The sequence below is a fragment of the Homo sapiens genome, chromosome 3, assembly GCF_000001405.40.
Source record: "Homo sapiens chromosome 3, GRCh38.p14 Primary Assembly".
Classification (NCBI taxonomy): Eukaryota; Metazoa; Chordata; class Mammalia; order Primates; family Hominidae; genus Homo; species Homo sapiens.
Window position 1 is genome coordinate 50,259,391 of NC_000003.12, and position 18,193 is coordinate 50,277,583.

The 18,193-nt window shown below is 60.1% G+C and overlaps 1 protein-coding gene, 2 long non-coding RNA genes and 1 other non-coding gene across 14 annotated transcripts, besides 12 other annotated features; 3 read left to right on the forward strand and 1 right to left on the reverse strand.

Annotated features, from left to right (window-relative positions):
• Window positions 627-1,046: a silencer, noted in NCBI's record as "silent region_14389". NCBI's record gives its function as "represses an Ori minimal core promoter by ATAC-STARR-seq in GM12878 lymphoblastoid cells {active_cell/tissue: GM12878}" and the evidence as "EXISTENCE:reporter gene assay evidence [ECO:0000049][PMID:35858748]".
• Window positions 627-1,331: a biological region, named in NCBI's record as "H3K27ac-H3K4me1 hESC enhancer GRCh37_chr3:50297648-50298153".
• Window positions 826-1,331: an enhancer, noted in NCBI's record as "H3K27ac-H3K4me1 hESC enhancer chr3:50297648-50298153 (GRCh37/hg19 assembly coordinates)". NCBI's record gives its function as "activates a minimal SCP1, AML or CMV promoter by ChIP-STARR-seq in primed H9 embryonic stem cells {active_cell/tissue: H9 hESC(primed)}" and the evidence as "EXISTENCE:reporter gene assay evidence [ECO:0000049][PMID:30033119]".
• LINC03143 (long intergenic non-protein coding RNA 3143) lies at window positions 836-3,968 on the forward strand. 2 transcript variants are annotated; one of them, NR_198940.1, is made up of 2 exons: window positions 836-3,145; window positions 3,577-3,968. It is a non-coding gene; the product is annotated as a long intergenic non-protein coding RNA 3143 (long non-coding RNA). The 2 variants fall into 2 exon arrangements; NR_198941.1 differs by having other exon boundaries at window positions 836-3,968.
• Window positions 836-18,156, forward strand: SEMA3B (semaphorin 3B). 10 transcript variants are annotated; one of them, NM_001435958.1, is made up of 21 exons: window positions 836-1,173; window positions 1,743-1,926; window positions 3,577-3,673; window positions 7,278-8,379; window positions 9,771-9,959; window positions 10,737-10,894; window positions 11,043-11,105; window positions 11,500-11,619; window positions 11,698-11,791; window positions 11,971-12,090; window positions 13,908-14,053; window positions 14,145-14,256; window positions 14,369-14,438; window positions 14,526-14,667; window positions 14,973-15,192; window positions 15,453-15,544; window positions 15,622-15,663; window positions 15,912-16,069; window positions 16,170-16,225; window positions 16,315-16,454; window positions 16,912-17,775. In NM_001435958.1, exons 5-21 carry the CDS (start codon window positions 9,851-9,853, stop codon window positions 17,314-17,316), a joined length of 2,247 nt encoding a protein of 748 aa, NP_001422887.1. In that variant the 5' UTR covers window positions 836-1,173; window positions 1,743-1,926; window positions 3,577-3,673; window positions 7,278-8,379; window positions 9,771-9,850; the 3' UTR covers window positions 17,317-17,775. The 10 variants fall into 10 exon arrangements, 9 of the variants coding, with proteins under 9 accessions (NP_001422887.1, NP_001422885.1, NP_001422886.1 ...); NM_001435956.1 differs by lacking the exon at window positions 7,278-8,379 and having other exon boundaries at window positions 14,523-14,667; NM_001435957.1 differs by lacking the exon at window positions 7,278-8,379.
• Window positions 1,217-1,316: an enhancer, noted in NCBI's record as "active region_19896". NCBI's record gives its function as "activates an Ori minimal core promoter by ATAC-STARR-seq in GM12878 lymphoblastoid cells {active_cell/tissue: GM12878}" and the evidence as "EXISTENCE:reporter gene assay evidence [ECO:0000049][PMID:35858748]".
• Window positions 1,839-2,343: an enhancer, noted in NCBI's record as "H3K4me1 hESC enhancer chr3:50298661-50299165 (GRCh37/hg19 assembly coordinates)". NCBI's record gives its function as "activates a minimal SCP1, AML or CMV promoter by ChIP-STARR-seq in naive H9 embryonic stem cells {active_cell/tissue: H9 hESC(naive)}" and the evidence as "EXISTENCE:reporter gene assay evidence [ECO:0000049][PMID:30033119]".
• Window positions 4,387-4,962: an enhancer, noted in NCBI's record as "H3K27ac-H3K4me1 hESC enhancer chr3:50301209-50301784 (GRCh37/hg19 assembly coordinates)". NCBI's record gives its function as "activates a minimal SCP1, AML or CMV promoter by ChIP-STARR-seq in naive H9 embryonic stem cells {active_cell/tissue: H9 hESC(naive)}" and the evidence as "EXISTENCE:reporter gene assay evidence [ECO:0000049][PMID:30033119]".
• Window positions 4,963-5,536: an enhancer, noted in NCBI's record as "H3K27ac-H3K4me1 hESC enhancer chr3:50301785-50302358 (GRCh37/hg19 assembly coordinates)". NCBI's record gives its function as "activates a minimal SCP1, AML or CMV promoter by ChIP-STARR-seq in naive H9 embryonic stem cells {active_cell/tissue: H9 hESC(naive)}" and the evidence as "EXISTENCE:reporter gene assay evidence [ECO:0000049][PMID:30033119]".
• Window positions 4,963-6,112: a biological region, named in NCBI's record as "H3K27ac-H3K4me1 hESC enhancers GRCh37_chr3:50301785-50302358 and GRCh37_chr3:50302359-50302934".
• Window positions 5,367-5,661: an enhancer, noted in NCBI's record as "tiled region #8430; HepG2 Activating DNase unmatched - State 1:Tss". NCBI's record gives its function as "activates a minimal TATA promoter and a strong SV40 promoter by Sharpr-MPRA in HepG2 cells {active_cell/tissue: HepG2}" and the evidence as "EXISTENCE:reporter gene assay evidence [ECO:0000049][PMID:27701403]".
• Window positions 5,537-6,112: an enhancer, noted in NCBI's record as "H3K27ac-H3K4me1 hESC enhancer chr3:50302359-50302934 (GRCh37/hg19 assembly coordinates)". NCBI's record gives its function as "activates a minimal SCP1, AML or CMV promoter by ChIP-STARR-seq in naive H9 embryonic stem cells {active_cell/tissue: H9 hESC(naive)}" and the evidence as "EXISTENCE:reporter gene assay evidence [ECO:0000049][PMID:30033119]".
• SEMA3B-AS1 (SEMA3B antisense RNA 1) lies at window positions 7,251-7,981 on the reverse strand. The gene is made up of 2 exons (NR_110702.1): window positions 7,891-7,981; window positions 7,251-7,497 (listed from the first exon to the last, which is right to left on the reverse strand). It is a non-coding gene; the product is annotated as an SEMA3B antisense RNA 1 (long non-coding RNA).
• Window positions 13,785-13,984: an enhancer, noted in NCBI's record as "active region_19897". NCBI's record gives its function as "activates an Ori minimal core promoter by ATAC-STARR-seq in GM12878 lymphoblastoid cells {active_cell/tissue: GM12878}" and the evidence as "EXISTENCE:reporter gene assay evidence [ECO:0000049][PMID:35858748]".
• MIR6872 (microRNA 6872) lies at window positions 13,846-13,907 on the forward strand. Its single transcript, NR_106932.1, has one exon. It is a non-coding gene; the product is annotated as a microRNA 6872 (primary transcript).
• Window positions 13,963-14,486: an enhancer, noted in NCBI's record as "H3K27ac-H3K4me1 hESC enhancer chr3:50310784-50311307 (GRCh37/hg19 assembly coordinates)". NCBI's record gives its function as "activates a minimal SCP1, AML or CMV promoter by ChIP-STARR-seq in naive H9 embryonic stem cells {active_cell/tissue: H9 hESC(naive)}" and the evidence as "EXISTENCE:reporter gene assay evidence [ECO:0000049][PMID:30033119]".

An 18,193-nucleotide genomic window follows, 5' to 3' on the forward strand; every position in this document is an offset into this window, starting at 1 on the left:
GGCCTGGGCTAAGGTGTGCCAAGGTGATGGTGGTCCTAACCTCAGTCCTCAACCTGAGTCAGGGCCCTGACTCAGCTTTCCGGGCCGTCCTGGAGCCCCACGCTCTGAGCTTCATTTCTCCCACCTGGACTAGGCAGCATACATGTGGGGCCCGTGTGTCCCCGCCCTTCCAGTACTCTGCAGCCTTGGGTCTCGGGCAGCTGGGCAGGCTTCTAAGGGAGCTGTTGTAAGGTGCTCTTCCACACCTGGAGCAGGAGGGGTGGCCGGCCTCTCTAGCGCGGAAGGAGAAAGTGACTTCCGACTTAGGTACCAAGGCCTGAGAGTGTCCGTTGCCAAGGCCACACAGCCAGGTGGGCCGCATGCAGTCCTGGCTTGACTAAAAAGGCCAGTAGGGGCCTTAAGACATATTCAGAAAGTTCCCTGCCCCAGAGGGCCGCCGCCAAACCTGAAGGGTAGTGACAGGTGGCCATACTACCATGTGATGGTTGCCCCAGGCTGGGCCTGGAGAGCTGCAGATCATTGACTCTGAAGATGGAAGGCTCCATGAGGCTGTGGGAAGGGCCCGCGCGTTTCTGGGGAAGGGAATTGCAGATGGCAAGGCTGGTGATGCTTGTGGGGCGGGCCCTGAGTGCCATCGAGGCGCCTGGACCTTCTCCCGGGGGCAGCCGCGGCCTGAACGTGTGGGGGCGGGCTCGCGGAAAGGCTGGCCTCGACTGGGTGGGGCTCCGGCGTTGGCGCATCCGCCTCCGGCCGCCAGGGGGCGCCGCCGCCCGTGCTCTGCCCTGCCTGGCTGGTCACAGAGGCTGACGTCAGCGGGTCCCGCGGAGGCCGCTGGACACAAAGGCAGCTTTGTGAGGCGGCGACGGCTCCGCGGCCGCCCCAGGACAGAGCGGCCTGGGCAGAGGGCGGGCCGGGGTCGGCGCCGCGGAGGCGGGGAGGGAGGGAGGGTTGGAGGGTTGAGCCAGAGACCCGGGACCCCGTCCCCGCACACCTGCCAGTGCCCCGTAGCTTCGGCCGCCGGCACTGGCAGGAGATGAAAGGCTGCTGCCGCCCGGTCGGAAGGACATCGGCGCCCCCCAGGCCCGGTCCCCGCCCCAGTTCCTCGGGCCTTTCCTGCTGCCCCTGCCTGCGAGGGCCGACGACACGGAGAACAGGATCCTGCGCCCAACCCAGGTCCCCGCCTTCTTTCAGAGGCCCAGGCCTGGACCCCGCTGAGCCGCAGATGTGCGAGCAGGAGCGCCAGAGCCCCGATGCCCGCCCAGCAGGAAGCGGGCGGGAGATGGTTCCTTCCTTCTGTCCTGAGGGGGAACCCTGCACAGAGGGACCATTGAGGGCCTGGCATTGTCTGCCTAACTCACCCAGTGCCTCCCTCCCTGGGTGGGCCATGCGGGGCCTTGACAGGATTGCCCTGGTGCCGTCTTGGCAGTGGGTCTGGGTGGGATCCTGGGGGCAGGGCTTCCCTGAGTGCAGACAGCTAGGCCTCCACCTGCCCCGGCCTCCCACCCAGGCTCAGATTTCCAGGGCATAAGGCTCCATTGTCCCAGCACTGGTGGAGGCGGCCTGTCAATTCAGCCTTGTGTTTGGTGGTTGGGAAATTCCCAGCCATGGGGGGCTGCAGGCAGGAAGGGGCTGCCCAGGTGTCCTGCACCCCAACTGAAGGGACTCCATGAGGTTGGTTCCTGGGCATCCCCTGCTGCCTGGAGCTGTCCCAGGCTGGACCTCAACCATTCATCAACCCTCAGGAGCAGTTGGGTGAGGAGCACCAGAAATTCAATGCTCCCTGGCGCTGCATCCCCAGAGCCCTCCCAGCCTAAGAAGCCCCATCTTTCTGTCTCCACGCATGGAGAACTGCAGCTGTGAGGCCCAGGACCCTTAGCAGGACATGCAGAGCTGGGCAGGGACCCAGGCTCATGCTCCCAGCGTGGGGTGAGTTGTCTCCAGCCTGTGGAGACTGCCATGAAGTTGATCTGCCTCCCAGAGGGCCTGGCCCACTTGAAATAATTGCTCCGGCTACTGATGTGGTGGGAACTTTGGTATTTTTAACCCATTTGGGGGGTGGGGGAGCAGCTAGGAAGAGAGAGGCAAGCTTTCAGAGTCAGAGAGGCCTGAGAGAGGAGAGTAGAGGGAAACTCAGTGAGGAGGAGCCAGGCAGGCTGCCTCGGTAGTTCCCCAGGCCTAGACACCCCCCCTGTACCACCCCCTGTCCCAGCAGGTAGGTGCAGACCTAGATGCCAGGTGCAGAAGGGGGAAAGGGCCCTCTCCAGGGTTACAGCAGGGATCACCGAGGCTGCAGGGGCTGCCAAGGCCTGGAAGAAGTCCCATGTTCCAGGGAGCCCCATGGCTTCTGATGTCAGGAAAACTTAGTCCTCTCAGTTCCCCAGAATCATTTCACCCCACCCCACCCAAACTGAGTGGCAAACCAGTTGAGTAGAGAATACAAGCCCTGACTCCAGCTGCCTGGTCAGTGGCATAGCCAGCCAAGTCCTAGCAACCCTAGGAGTCAGGGAGTCAGGGAGGAGGCAAGGACAAGACTACAGTATTGTTTGGCTGAGTTCTGGGTCTGGCCCCACTCCCCAAAACTGACCCCAATCTCTGTGTCTGCTGCCCTAAAAAGAGACCCTGGGGCTGGGTGTGGTGGCTCACGCCTGTAATCCTAGCACTTTGGGAGGCCAAGGTGGGCGGATCACTTGAGATCAGGAGTTCAAGACCAGCCTGGCCAACATGGTGAAACCCCGTCTCTACTAAAATACAAAAATTAGCTGGGCATGATGACGGGTGCCTGTAATCCCAGCTACTCAGGAGGCTGAAACAGGAGAATCACTTGAACCCAGGAGACGGTGGTTGCAGTGAGCCAAGATTGTGCCACTGCACTCTAGCCTAGGTGGCTGAGCGAGACTCCATCTCAAAAAAATAAATAAAAGGAGACCCTGACTGGATGTAGTGGCTCATGCCTTAATCCCAGCACTTTTGGAGGCCAAGGCAGGAGGATCACTTGAGGCCAAAAGTTTGAGACCAGCCTGGGCAACATAGCAAGACCCCGTCTCTTAAAAACAAAAGATCCTAGCGGTCCTCATCTCTACCATGGACTACCAGAGGGAAGGCAGCACCTCTCATCACCCAGGGGGATGGCCTCCAGTCAGCTGGGGTATGTATGCAGCTGTGTGGCAGCAAATATGTCCATGCCTGCAAGCCACTCAGCCCTCAGTCACACGGTGATGGGCACTAATATCCAAGAGGAGCAGAAGTCAAGGCCATGGGTCCTTTTCTCCCCTTGCCAGAGATGCAGCCCCACAGTCCCTGGTGATCTTGGCTGGGAGAAAAATCAGAGTTTGACATCTCATCCCACTGCCTTCTGCTTTCTGACCTTACTGAGGTCAGGGTCATCAAGGCCTGGGGGACTGGGACAGGGTTAAGGGGTGTCCTTTCTCCATCCGTCTTCCAACCCCGTGGAGACTCAGCATGCCTAGGAAGGTGGAAGGGCTTCCTGCGGGCACACCATCTCCCGCCTCCCTGTGCCTGTCCTCTGCTGGGTCCTGGGTTCTCCAGTGATTATAGCCCTTGCTGCTTCCCCCACAGTGGGGAACACAGAGCCCTGCCCAGAGGCTTGAACCTGGCACCACAGGGGTCTGGAATTACACAGAAGACGGGTGACAGCCAAGGTGGATCATGAACGGTGAGAAGTCCAGCAGGTGACAAGGGGAAGGGTCTAAAGGGTGGAGGGCACAGCGCAAGCAAAGTCTTGGCAACAAAAGAGCTAATGCATCCCAGAAATGGGGCAGGTGGAGTACTGGAAGCTACACCAAGCTTCAGAGTGGTCCTGTGGCCTCGGTGTGGTAGCTCAGGCCTATAATTCCAACACTTTGGGAGGCTGAGGCAGGAGGAGGATAACTTGAACCCAGGAGTTCAAGATCAGCCTGGGCAACATAGTGAGACCTCCATTTTTACAAAAAATACAAAAATTAACTGTGTGTTGTGGTGTGTGCCTGGAGTCCCAGCTCCTCGGGAGGCTGAGGTGGGGGGATCACTTGAGTTCTGGAGGTCAAGGCTGCTGTGGGCCATGATCTTGCCACTGCACTCCAGCCTGGGTGGCAAAGCAAGATCCTGTCTCAAAAAAAAAAAAAAAAAAAAAAAAAAAGATGAAAAAGAGAGTGGCCCTGTGAATGCCAAGCTAAAAGCCTGCAATCCCGCCAAACTTCAGCAAGCTCTCTGAGTCAGGGGTCAGGGACACGGTCCTGCAGAGGGGAGGCATGGGGAGAGAAATGACAGAATGACCCCAGGGATACAGCCTGGGGGAGGGTAAAGGGGTCAGTGCTTGTCCTAAGTAAGACAAAAGGTAGGGGCTCTCAGGAGGGCAGGCTTGGCAGTGCCAGGGGTGGGTTGGGGACTTGGGAAGGGAGAAGACTGAGGAGTCCCCACCCAGGGGAGGGAGGGAGGTTAAAGTAGAACCCTGGGCACAGAGGGTTGAGGACCCTGGGGTCAAGAGAACCCTGGGGTCAGAGGGTTGAGGAAGTAATTGTACTGAGGTGGCCGGGAGCGGTGACTCATGCCTCTAATCCCAGCACTTTGGGAGGCCAAGGCAGGAGGACTGCTTGAGCCCAGGAGTTCAAGACCAGCCTGGGCAACATGACAAAACCTCATCTCTACCAAAAAAAAATAATAATACAAAAAAATTAGCTAGGCATGGTGGCACATGCCTGTAGTCCCAGCTACTCAGGAGGTTGAGGTGGGAGGATCACTTGAGCTCGGCAGGTTGAGGCTGCCATGAGCCATGATCCCACCACTGCACTCCACCCTGGGTGACAAAGCAAGATCCTGTCTCAAAAAAAAGAAGAAAAAAAAAAGTACTGGGGTGAGGGGCACAGCAAAAGGGGACAAGAGAGGAGCTGAGCCCGAGAAGGGGCCTTGTTCAGCTGGGATGGAAGAGGCAGCAGTGGAGGGTTTCTCTGAGGCCCTCATAGGCCTGGGTGCCCAAGATGCCCAGAGCTAAGGTGGCAGCAAGAGTGCATACCTGTGGTACCCCCACTGTGTGCCAGACCTGCCTGGCCACTGTCTGCAGCTGCAGGGAAAATGAGAGGTGCAGACTCCAGCTAGGGCCACGGGGTCGGCTAAGCGGCAGGGTAGGGATTCAGCCCCACCTCCTGCTGGACTAACAAGGGGGTTGATCCTTGGGGCTGGCTCCAGACTCCTCAGCCCTCCCCCAGAGCATTCAGAGCCCCATACCCAGTACTCCTGGGAGGCTCTCCCCTAGCCAGTTAGGAGAATGTAGTATTTATGTAAATGTCTGTTCATGAGTGCAGTGTGCCCTCAGAGTCCACTTTCCAGCATTCCTGGCATAGCCCCCTCCACCCTGCCGGGCTCCAGAGGAGGGAGGGAGAGGGAGGCCCCGCCCCCAGCCCCCTCTCCTCCCACTCCTCCCTGCTGGGCAATGAGGAAAACAGGAGTGAGGGAAGAGCTGTGATGTGGCTGGTTGGGGGGGCTCCCGCATCCCAGAAGGGCTGACCTCAGCCTGGGAGGAATGTGCAGGAGGGGAGGGCAGGGGTGGGGCAGGCGGGGGTAGGGCCACAGCCAAAGGCCCAGGGTTCTTGGTAGCCCCTCCCTCAGCACCTCCATCTCAGTTCTGACAGGGCCCTCAGAAGGGAAGGGGAACAGGCAAGGAGGGGAGGAGCTAATCTTTCAAAAAAGGTGGGCCAGGGTTCCCTGGGAATGTGGAGACCAGGCTGGGGTGAGGACATGCCTGCAGACGCTTCCCCAGGAGATGCCCCTGGGGCAGGGCCTTAGAGTGTCTGGGAAGTTAGGCCTCAGGTGATGATCCTATGGCCGCCCACGCCTGCCCCCACTGTGCCTAAGTCCTCTGGGCAGCATGACCTGGTACCTACGTGGCCAGAACAAGGAAGAGTTGTGACGTTGGAGCCACAAGCCCTGATGACTAAAGCAGGTGTGAGTGGGGCGCCCAAGATCCCATCCAGTCCAGGCTGCACTGGGAGGGTTGCCACAACCTTCCTCAGATGGGTGTCCCACCCCAACCACACCACCCGGAGTCCAGGCAGGGGCAAAGGGGCAGGCCCAGCTGGTGGCCAGGGGTGGGGAGGCAGGTGCTGAGATTTGGCACAACAATCCAGGTTTTTCCAGAAGGAAAAGCCAAGGCCGTGGTAGGCCATGCCACTGACAGGCAGCCCCAGAGCAAGGACCCAGGCAGGTCTCTGCCCATGGAAGCTCCCTCAAAAGAGAGAGGTCCAGGGTAGGAGTACAGGCAGGAAAAGGGACCCCAGCTGCCTTGCCTGGTTTGCCCCATTCTGTTGAGACTCAGGCTCAGGCTGCCTGATTCCAGAATCCTCGAGGAGTTCCAGCCCCCAGTGTGACCCACAGGCAGTGACCTTGCTCCTGGAGTGCTGACCTCCATGGGGGCCCCTACCCATGGCCTGGCACACTGGACCTGGGGCTGAGGAACAGAAAGGGGACCATGTGGAATCAGGGACAACTTGACCTCCCATCCCTGGAGACCTCCATTCCTACTCAAGGGAGGGTACACATCTAGAGGACAGAGGACAGGGCACAGCACTCAATGGGGACAGAGACAGTCTAGTCCTTTTGGCTGGGGGTTGACTCCCAGGCTATTGGAAAGATAATGGCGGTGGCGGGGGGGTTTCTGATACCGTTTCCCAGAGTGAACACAGGTGGAGGAAGGTGCGGGGTGATGAAACAGAGACAGGGCCCCTGGGCCTGGAAAAACATAAGGCAGTGAGGGCCTATGGGGGCACAGTGGGAGTGGATGGGAGCCTCTGAGGCACTTGCTGATCCTGGCTGCTTGGGTGGAAAGCTGTAAACAGCCAAAGAATGTTGTCTGCTTGCATGGAGCCAGGAGAGCCTGCCCAGGTCCTCTAAGGCTAGAGGCAGCTACTCCTGGAGTAGGAAAAGGCCACATCCAGGAAGCCCACGAGCCCAGGCAGGGATCTGTCCTTCCACTTGCCCTCCTGAAGGGCCCTGCGGCTCCCACTGGCCCCTGTTATTTACCTGCCAGCTGGCCAGGCCAGGCCAGGTATACCAGGTCCTCAGGCTCAGGAAGGAGGGGCATAGCCCCACTTCCACTTCCAGGGGACTTGGAGATGTGCCCCCCACCTCTGTCCTTGCTTGGCTGGAGGCATCCAGGGCTGGGCAACAGAACTGCAACACTTGAAATGCCCACACTGCCCCATCAGCCTTGGGAGGTGGTAGGAAAATGCCTTTTGCGGGGATGGAAGGATCAAAGCCCATTCTCAAGCCCTGGTATATTCACTCAGGTGGACTTCAGGGCTCCACTCTGCCACTGTCAACATACAGTCCCTCCAGAGAAGTACCCCTCATGTTACAAATGGGGCACGTTCACCAGACTCAGCTTCAGGACAAGACCCCAGGTCATTCCCAACTGAGGCTCCGAGGTGCAGGAGCTCCGTCCTGTCTGTAAAACTCCCTCAGTTTTCGGCTCTGGGTTTGGTGGGGGTTGTTCCTCCCACCTCCAACCTAGAAAGAGAAGCCAGAGGAAGGGAGGTCACATGGTCTGCCCCCCAACCTCTCAGCAGAGATGCAAAGCTACCTGTCCAGGATGGCGGACTCCAGATGGGCCCCGCCCTGTGGTGCAGAAGTGAGATTTGCTGCTCCTCCTGCGTCTGCCCCTCTCCTGCCCTCCTCTCCCTCCCCTATCTGGCTGTCATGGTAGAAGCCACTGCTGGCCAGGCCACTGAAGTACTAAGTGGCCCAAGTGTTGAGGAAGGATGGGGACTGGGTCCTGAGGGCCCATCCGACCTCCAGTTGAGAGCCCCTCCCCTGACCTCCAGCTGCCCGGCCACCCCAGCCGGTCCCTGGGAACTGAGGTGGCAGCTGAGCTCCCCATTATCTTTCCCCACAGCTCCCCACCTGTGGAGGGAGAGGTTGAGATATTGGAGTCCACGGGTGGTGCCCCCACTCAGTGATTCCCTTTGCCTGCTGAGCCCCTGGAGCTGGGGTTTCTTCCTCCCTTGCCTTGGCTGGCCACCTGGCTTCTGGGACCGCCACCTGGGGCACCCTTCTGCTTTAAGGCCCAATATGGGAGGGGTCGTCCCTACCAGCCCCTCCCTTGTGCCCATTCCACTCCCGCCTGGCTGCCGTCTCCAGCTGGTCCCGGCTGCCTGCCCGGTCACCCGATCCGCCCTCTAAACTTTACGGCACGGCGGGCGGTGCGTGGGGCGGTGGCTGGCCTGGTGGGGGCGGGGGCTGCTTCTTAAAGGAGCCGTCAGAGGGTCCCCAGCGGCCCCAGGGTGGGAAGGGGCCAGAGTGGAGAGATGCTGCTGCGGAAGTCCTCGGTGGAGTGTGAGAAGGCAGCCAGTGTTGGCCTGGAAGACCTCTAGAACCTGAGAAGAGGCAGCGGCAAGTGTCAGCGGAGGGAAGGAGGGAGGTGGGGGTCCTGGCCTGGGATGGGGCCAGGAGCTGGGCAGGAGTGTGGGTGGAGGGGCCTGGAACCTGCCTCAGCAGCTGCTCCACTTGCTTAATCCCACCTGGAACCTTGTCCCACTCCCTGGGCTCCTGTGTCCAGCACCTGCCCAGCTGACCCCTGGGAAGGAGGGTGGGCATAGCAGCCAGGTCTTTGCCCCAGCTGAGGGCCAGGGGGAGGTGTCTGGCTCCTAGAGTGAAGGGGCTCAAAGATGGGGAAGAACTCAAGGGGTGAGAGAAGTGAAGGGAGAGGCTCAGAGAGGCTGTGGAGGCGTTGAGAGGGAAGGCCAGCTCAGCGAGGCCAGGAGGCTGGGGTGCAAATGAAGGGCTGCCTCACCTTGCCCCTCTTTGATTCCTCAGGGGTGTGGAGAGAGAGCCCTCAAGCTCAAATGCAGAGGCTGCTTCAGCTGGGTTGGGAGCAGTCCCCAAGTCAGAGGCTGAGGCTTCTGCCCAGGTCTTGGGTCTCCTGGGTAGCACTTCTCCCTCTGAGGAATGGAGTGATTGATGCTGCAGTTGGATTTGCTCACTTGCATGCCCAGAGACATGTCTATTCTTATGGGTGCACACGTTTGCACATGCACAAATGTGCAACACATCTGTGTGCAAAATATGCACATATCACACATATGTACTGCATGGATTGCACAGTGCCACATGTGTGTGCACACCAACCCATATCCACACATGTGCAATATGACACACTATATATTTGCACATAGATGTGCACACACATGCACATACACACTACACACATGCGCACATCACAAGGGGACACTCGGAAACACATTCACAGGCACCCACACCCTTGGCTCCAGCCTCAAAAGTGTCTCTGTGTTTTTCTGCGGGACTGTGGGGACACTGCCACCTCCAGAGGCCTGACCCCCTCCTGTCACTCTCACTCTTTTGACTGGCTTGTTTTGCTCATTGCACTTGGCACCCTCTGCATCCATCTGATTCCTTGTTGGCACTCTGTCCCCTTTCACATGGGGACCTTGTCTATGTCTCCCAGTATCCCTCCTCCCAGGTCTAGGCTGGCATGAAGTGGGTGGCACATTGTGAATTAATGTCTGTGAGTGTGTATACAAGAGAGGAGATTACTGGGAAGGGTGACGTGGTGAGGCGGGCTTGCCAGTGCAGGGTGACCCTGAGGGTGTGCCCAGTGGCGTGGGTGTGTCTGTGATTGTGGCCAGGCGGGGCACCCTCGGAGGGGAGGGTTCGGAAGTGGAATGCGACCCCCCAGCCTCTTTCCCCTAGGGGCTGTAATCTGATCCCTGGGGACTCCCCCCCTAGCCTCCCGCCCTCGCCCTCACTGCTGACTCCTCTTCCAGATCCTGGGGCAGAGTCCAGGGCAGCTCAAGGCTCCTCCACACACACACCCGCTGAACCCTGAGCACCCTGAGCTGCTGAGATGGGGCGGGCCGGGGCTGCCGCCGTGATCCCGGGCCTGGCCCTGCTCTGGGCAGTGGGGCTGGGGAGTGCCGCCCCCAGCCCCCCACGCCTTCGGCTCTCCTTCCAAGGTAGGTGCACCTGGCAGGCGGGAGGGCCCAGCTTGAGGTGGGCAGGAAAGGGTCCCCGTATGGCCAGGGGGCTCTGTGTTGGCTGTTGCCCCATGTGCGTGCCTGTCACCAGACTCTGGTAGGATTAGTGGGCACTCTCAGGCCACCTCCAGTTAACCCTGTCCGGGCCTCAGCCCCCAGCCTCTGCCCACATTCTCTTCGTGCTTTCTCAGGAAGACCCCTCCTGTCCCCACAGCAACAGACCTTGTCTCTGTTCCGTTCAGTACCCCCAACAAGGCGATACTCCTTCAGCAGAGCAACAGGGAAGTCAGAGCCCCCTTCTCATGCCTCCTGTATAGGAGGGTGGCCCCTGGGCAGTGGCAGTGAATAGGCAGTTCTGCTGAGCTCAGGCTGGTGGTGGAGTGGCAGGAAAGGAACTCTCAGCCTGACTTTTGGGAGTTGGGGTTCTGGCCATCCCTGCATGCCAGTCTCCCCCAGGACTCTGGTGTCCATAAGCCTTGCCTCCCAGTGCGCCCGCCTGGAGACACCACCTGTCTGAGCATGCCCAAGTTCAACCTGCCTTCCTCTTCCTGGGGGGATGTACCACCTACCCTGGCAGCTCCACACGTGCACCTGGGTGGGCTTGGGTTTGCGTGTGTAAACTCACACACATGTAAACTCACATGTGTACAGGCCAGGTCCTAATGGCAACCTTGGCCGATAGAGTCACCACCAGGCAGGACCTGGGGGAGGCTTCCAGCATGGCTGGCGAGTCATCAGCAGTGTCCTGCCCTGCAGAGCTCCAGGCCTGGCATGGTCTCCAGACTTTCAGCCTGGAGCGAACCTGCTGCTACCAGGCCTTGCTGGTGGATGAGGAGCGTGGACGCCTGTTTGTGGGTGCCGAGAACCATGTGGCCTCCCTCAACCTGGACAACATCAGCAAGCGGGCCAAGAAGGTGCCAGGGACTCCCAACCCCAGCACTCCCCAGGGAAGGAGCCCTGGGACCCCACTCCAGCCTGGAGAGACCCAGAGGAATGGCTCCCTGAGGTAGAGAATATCCCAAGTTCCTGACCTGTGTCCCCTCTCCCCCAACCTCCCGATAGCTGGCCTGGCCGGCCCCTGTGGAATGGCGAGAGGAGTGCAACTGGGCAGGGAAGGACATTGGTGTGAGTGCCAGCTGCCCGGGCCGGGAGTGGGGAGGGTCAGCCCCTCACCCCAGAGACAGGGCAGGGCTAAAACAGAGGCCTGCCTGTTCTGGCTGGGATGAGGGCAGGGAGGTCGAGGTGGCTGAGGTCTGGGGGTGGTGAGTCAGGGTGGGGGCTCGTGTAATTCTTCTGGGGTGCCTCTGAGTCATGGGAGGCTTTGCAGGCCTGTGCTTCCCCAGACACCCACCCTCGTGAGGCCTGGGCTGGTCAGCAAGGGCCCCCAGGTCCCTGTAGCCCATGTTAGTACTTGCCTGGGCTGATGCCGAAGAGAGGGAGGGGTGAGGATGCCACTGGTGAGCTGGGACCTCTTAAGGCTACGTCCCTGGGGGAAGCCTCACACCTCCAACCCTACTAGACTGAGTGCATGAACTTCGTGAAGTTGCTGCATGCCTACAACCGCACCCATTTGCTGGCCTGTGGCACGGGAGCCTTCCACCCAACCTGTGCCTTTGTGGAAGTGGGCCACCGGGCAGAGGTAAGGCCGGATCTAGGCAGGGAGGGAGGTCAGGAGGGTAAGAAGGGCCTGGTAGTCACAACTTGCCACACCTCCCAGGAGCCCGTCCTCCGGCTGGACCCAGGAAGGATAGAGGATGGCAAGGGGAAGAGTCCTTATGACCCCAGGCATCGGGCTGCCTCCGTGCTGGTGGGTGAGTCCAAGGGCTAAGGCCCCAAGAGAACCCCTTAGAAACTCTAGAACCTCACAAAGTCCCAAGACCCCCAAGAGCTCCAGGGAATCCCCCATAACCTCACTCACTCCCAGAGCTCCCCAGGCCCTCCTGCCCCAAGAGCCCTCCATTTGCCTGAGTGGCCCTTGCTCTGTCTGCAGGGGAGGAGCTATACTCAGGGGTGGCAGCAGACCTCATGGGACGAGACTTTACCATCTTTCGCAGCCTAGGGCAACGTCCAAGTCTCCGAACAGAGCCACACGACTCCCGCTGGCTCAATGGTGAGAGGCTGGTGGGGTTGGTGGGTAGAGGTCGTCACCCTCCCACAGGGCAGGTGCCAAGCAAGGCCCATAAAGTAAGTGAGCAGTGGGTGTGGCCAGGTCTTACCAAATACCCTCCTTAATCAGGCACTGGCGTCACAGAGACAGACAAGACAGGTATGACCGTGACCTCTTTGAGTTCACAGATCACATACATGATAAGATCAAGTCCAATGGCCTTGAGGCCAGAGAGAGACAAGGGAGGAAGGGAAAAGGAGACTGGGTGGCTGGAGGGGGTTGGGTAAAGGAAGCCGCTGTGCTGAGGGGAGTATGAGCTAATTCCCAAGCACAAGACAGCTAGCCAGCAAAATTTAGGGATGAGCATTCCAGGCAGAGGGAGCATTCCAGGCAGAGGGAGCAACTAGTGCAAAGGCCTGGATGCAAGAACAAGCAAAGGAATAGACTTGCAGAGCTAGCAATGAAAAGGGGGCCTGGACTGTCAGGGGCCAGAGTCATTTATTCTAAGAGTCATGGGGGCTGGGCACAATGGCTTGCACCTGTAATCCCAGCACTTTGGGAGGCTGAGGCAGACAGATTGCTTGAAGACAGGAGTTTCATACCAGCCTGGGCTACAAAGCAAGACAAAAAATAAAATAAAATTAGCTGGGGGCAGTGGCATGCACACACCTGTAGTCCTGGCTAGTCAGGAGGCTGAGATGGAAGGATCACTTGAGCCCAGGAGTTGGAGGCTGCAGTGAGCCATGATGCTGCCACTGCAGGACAGAGCAGACCCTGTCTCTAAATCAAATAAAAATTAAATAAGGGCTATGGGCTGGTGGGCACAGTGGCTCACACCTGTAATCTCAGCACTTTGGGAGGCGGAGGCAGGCAAATCGCTTGAGGCCAGGAGTTTGAGACTAGCCTGGCCAACATGGTGAAACCCTGTCTCTACTAAAAAATACAAAAATTGGCCGGGTGCAGTGGTGTGCACCTGTAATCCCAGCACTTTGGGAGGCTGAGGCGGGCGGATCACCTGAGTTCAGGCATTTGAGACCAGCCTGGCCAACATGGTGTAACCCCGTCTCTACTAAATATACAAAAATTAGTCCGGCATGATGGTGTGCATCTGTAATCCCAGCTACTCAGGAGGCTGAGGCAGGAGAATCGCTTGAACCTAGGAGGCGGAGGTTGCAGTGAATGGAGACTGTGCCACTGCATTCCAGCCTGGGCAATAGAGCGAGACTTCGTCTCAAAAAAAAAAAAAAAAGCCAGGTGTGGTGGTAGGCTCTGACTGTAATCTCAGCTACTTGGGAGGCTGAGGTTGCAGTGAGCCGAGATCGAGCACTCCAGCCTGGGCGACAGAGCGAGACTGTCTCAAAAAATAAATAAATAAACAAATAATAATAATAATAATAATAATAAAGAGCAATGGGACCCAGCAGAAGGATTTGAAGCAGGAGTGGGGAGCATCTGGTTATGCTAGAGAGGAAGATTCATGAGTGAAGGTGAAACCAGATTACCTCATCTCCCTCCTACCCCAGCCTAAGGTGCTGGGCGACGTGTGGGGCGAGATCGGAGGCTAGCCGGGCTTCACGCCTGCGCCCCCAGGTAGCCACGGTCTCTGCTGCCCCCTCGCGGCTGCTTCTTGCCTCGCAGGCCCTGATCCTTTGGATTCGGTCCGCGCAGAGCGCCAACTGGACATGGTGCTAGAGGTTGGGTGGTCAGACACTGTGATCCCGGGTGCTGTGCCCGCACTACGGGAAGGGGAAGCAGCGCGTGGGTCTCGCATCAGGAGGCAAGGCCAGGACCCGCTGACCCATGCCTCCTGCCGCGGTCAGAGCCCAAGTTTGTCAAGGTATTTTGGATCCCGGAGAGCGAGAACCCAGACGACGACAAAATCTACTTCTTCTTTCGTGAGACGGCGGTAGAGGCGGCGCCGGCACTGGGACGCCTGTCCGTGTCCCGCGTTGGCCAGATCTGCCGGGTGAGGAGTCCCTGGGCCACACCCGGCGACCCTGCCCCTACCCCTTTGCCTGCCCTGGTCTCGCCCTCATCCCCTTTGATCGTCCCGGCAGAACGACGTGGGCGGCCAGCGCAGCCTGGTCAACAAGTGGACGACGTTCCTGAAGGCGCGGCTGGTGTGCTCGGTGCCCGGCGTCGAGGGCGACACCCACTTCGATCAGCTCCGTGAGTGCGGGAGTGGGTATGGGGTTGGGGAGGGGGGCAGCGGCGCAGACTCCGGGAGCCCCCGCCGCAGCGGGGCTGTGCGCCCTACCCCAGCTAGGCCCCTTCCCCGCAGAGGATGTGTTTCTGTTGTCCTCGCGGGACCACCGGACCCCGCTGCTCTATGCCGTCTTCTCCACGTCCAGGTGAGGGGCAGGAGGTAGGGAGCGCCCGGGGCGGGCCGCTGGGCTCCACCCGGCCCCTCACCTCGCCCTGGTCTTCGCCTCCAGCAGCATCTTCCAGGGCTCTGCGGTGTGCGTGTACAGCATGAACGACGTGCGCCGGGCCTTCTTGGGACCCTTTGCACACAAGGAGGGGCCCATGCACCAGTGGGTGTCATACCAGGGTCGCGTCCCCTACCCGCGGCCAGGCATGGTTCGTAGCCCAGGGACTTCTGCTACAACCCACTTCAAAGCCTCAAGGGTTTGAGAACTTGGCCTGGGGTCTTCTTGGTGAATGTGGTTTCTTCCTTTAGTTATGGGTGGGAAAACGTTTCCATCATAAGACAAGGCTTGTTTCCCGCCTCTGACTTCCTAGGGCAAGGCTGATCTCCTCTCTAATTCTCAGGGCAGGGTTCTGTCCCCATCCCCCTCCATGTTCCCAGAGGCTGGGCATGGAGGGCTGCCTATCAAGCCCCCATATCTATATCCCTGCTGTGCCTCCCTTTCCCCCACCCCCAGTGCCCCAGCAAGACCTTTGGCACCTTCAGTTCCACCAAGGACTTCCCAGACGATGTCATCCAGTTTGCGCGGAACCACCCCCTCATGTACAACTCTGTCCTGCCCACTGGGGGGCGCCCTCTTTTCCTACAAGTTGGAGCCAATTACACCTTCACTCAAATTGCCGCGGACCGGGTTGCAGCCGCTGACGGACACTATGACGTCCTCTTCATTGGCACAGGTCAGGGTCCCTCCACAGCGACCCCCAGGCTCCCAGCCAGGCCCTGTGGGCTGCTGATGGAAGCTCTCCCTGTTCAGTCCCATCTCCACATCCTTTCCTGGGCTGTGTCTCCACCCTGTGGATGCTGCCCAACCCACACTCTTCCAGTCCACACTCTTCACAACCCAAACATGCTGAGGGTAGACGCCTCAAAGGCGAGGAGACACTAGCCCCAGCTGTCCGGGAGCACCAATGGTCATTACCCCTTCTCATCCCTGCAGACGTTGGCACGGTGCTGAAGGTGATCTCGGTCCCCAAGGGCAGTAGGCCCAGCGCAGAGGGGCTGCTCCTGGAGGAGCTGCACGTGTTTGAGGTGAGGCCTCACCCCCAGTCGCCCGGGACCCCCCCACCCCACTAAGCCCTGACCCCGTCGCCCCTCCTCCCTCTCAGGACTCGGCCGCTGTCACCAGCATGCAAATTTCTTCCAAGAGGGTGAGTGACCAGGATGGGGGTCGGGGTGGGATGGACTGAGCTTGTGCCTGGCGCGTCCCAAGCCTCTGGCCCCTTTTGGTAGTTTGCAGTCCCGGGTTTGAGTACAGGCTCTGGCTTTGTTAGACTGTGTGACCTGAGGCGTAAGACCTCAGTGTTCCCATCTGTCGAGTGGAAGAAGGGATCCCTGACCGATGGGAGGCAGGCGTGGGGTCGCCCTCGGTCAGCCCAGAGCCCCTCGTGCCCCCTAGCACCAGCTGTACGTAGCCTCGCGGAGCGCGGTGGCCCAGATCGCGTTGCACCGCTGCGCTGCCCACGGCCGCGTCTGCACCGAATGCTGTCTGGCGCGTGACCCCTACTGCGCCTGGGACGGGGTCGCGTGCACGCGCTTCCAGCCCAGTGCCAAGAGGTGGGCGGGGTCGGGGTTGGGCCGCCGGGAGGGAGGCGAAGGGTCTTTCACTGCCCGGGGCTGAAAGAAGGGCTCACAGAAGATCGGATGTTCCCCACAGGCGGTTCCGGCGGCAAGACGTAAGGAATGGCGACCCCAGCACGTTGTGCTCCGGAGGTGAGTGCCCCAGCTGCCCCTACCCTCAGCCCCAGAAGACGCCCCACCTGCCCTGCCTTGCCTAAATCTGACTTTCTTCTCGCCCCAAGACTCGTCTCGTCCCGCGCTGCTGGAACACAAGGTGTTCGGCGTGGAGGGCAGCAGCGCCTTTCTGGAGTGTGAGCCCCGCTCGCTGCAGGCGCGCGTGGAGTGGACTTTCCAGCGCGCAGGGGTGACAGCCCACACCCAGGTGAGCCTTACTCCGCCCTCCCCGCCAGGCTCCTGTCCCACCCCCTGCATCCAGGAGAGGCCCCGCCCTACCCAACGAAGCCCCGTCCAACCAGACCCACTCCCCGCCCTGTCCAGTTTGGTCCCTCACCTGCACTCCACAAGCTGCTGAGGCCCCATTGCGTCCAACGGGGCTCCCGACCCGCCTCCCCTGAATCAAGGAGAAGACCCGCCCTCGACCCTCCCATTAAGGTCCCTGACCACCCCCCACCAAGTTCATGTAAACCCCGCCTCTTTCGGATTCTCCCTTGAAGACCACCAGCTCCCAAACACTCAGCCTTAAAATGTGCGCCTGCGGGCACCCCTTTCCCGCTCCACCTCGGCTCCCAATGACTCTTTGCTTCTTCCGTCGCGTGCTAGGGCCCGGAAGCCCTGTTCCCGGCCCGACACCCCCGCCTCACGCTGCCCTCTGCCCGCAGGTGCTGGCAGAGGAGCGCACCGAGCGCACCGCCCGGGGACTACTGCTGCGCAGGCTGCGGCGCCGGGACTCGGGCGTGTACTTGTGCGCCGCCGTCGAGCAGGGCTTTACGCAACCGCTGCGTCGCCTGTCGCTGCACGTGTTGAGTGCTACGCAGGCCGAACGACTGGCGCGGGCCGAGGAGGCTGCGCCCGCCGCGCCGCCGGGCCCCAAACTCTGGTACCGGGACTTTCTGCAGCTGGTGGAGCCGGGCGGAGGTGGCAGCGCGAACTCCCTGCGCATGTGCCGCCCGCAGCCTGCGCTGCAGTCACTGCCCCTGGAGTCGCGGAGAAAGGGCCGTAACCGGAGGACCCACGCCCCTGAGCCTCGCGCTGAGCGGGGGCCGCGCAGCGCAACGCACTGGTGACCAGACTGTCCCCACGCCGGGAACCAAGCAGGAGACGACAGGCGAGAGAGGAGCCAGACAGACCCTGAAAAGAAGGACGGGTTGGGGCCGGGCACATTGGGGGTCACCGGCCGATGGAGACACCAACCGACAGGCCCTGGCTGAGGGCAGCTGCGCGGGCTTATTTATTAACAGGATAACCCTTGAATGTAGCAGCCCCGGGAGGGCGGCACAGGTCGGGCGCAGGATTCAGCCGGAGGGAAGGGACGGGGAAGCCGAGCTCCAGAGCAACGACCAGGGCCGAGGAGGTGCCTGGAGTGCCCACCCTGGGAGACAGACCCCACCTCCTTGGGTAGTGAGCAGTGAGCAGAAAGCTGTGAACAGGCTGGGCTGCTGGAGGTGGGGCGAGGCAGGCCGACTGTACTAAAGTAACGCAATAAACGCATTATCAGCCAAAGCTGGAATGGCCCCAGCAGAAAACCCCAGTCCTCGGCCTTGCTATGTGGTCTTGGGCACCTTACTAGCGGTGTCAGGGCCCGAGTTTCTCCTGTCCAAGGTTGCCTGGTGAGGATTAAAGGTGGTTCCGGCCAGGCGCGGTGGCTCACGCCTGTAATCCCAACACTTTCGGAGGCCCAGGCGGACGGATCACGAGGTCAGGAGATGGAAACCATCCCGGCTAACACGGTGAAACCCCGTCTGTACTAAAAATACAAAAAATTAGTCGGGCGTGGTGGCGGGCGCCTGTAATCCTAGCTACTCAGGAGGCTGAGGCAGGAGAATTGCTTGAACCTGGGAGGTGGAGGTTGCAATGAGCCTAGATCTCGCCGCTGCACTCCAGCCTGGGCGACAGAGCGAGACTCCAAAAAAAAAAAAAAAAAAAAAAAAAAAGGTGGTTCCG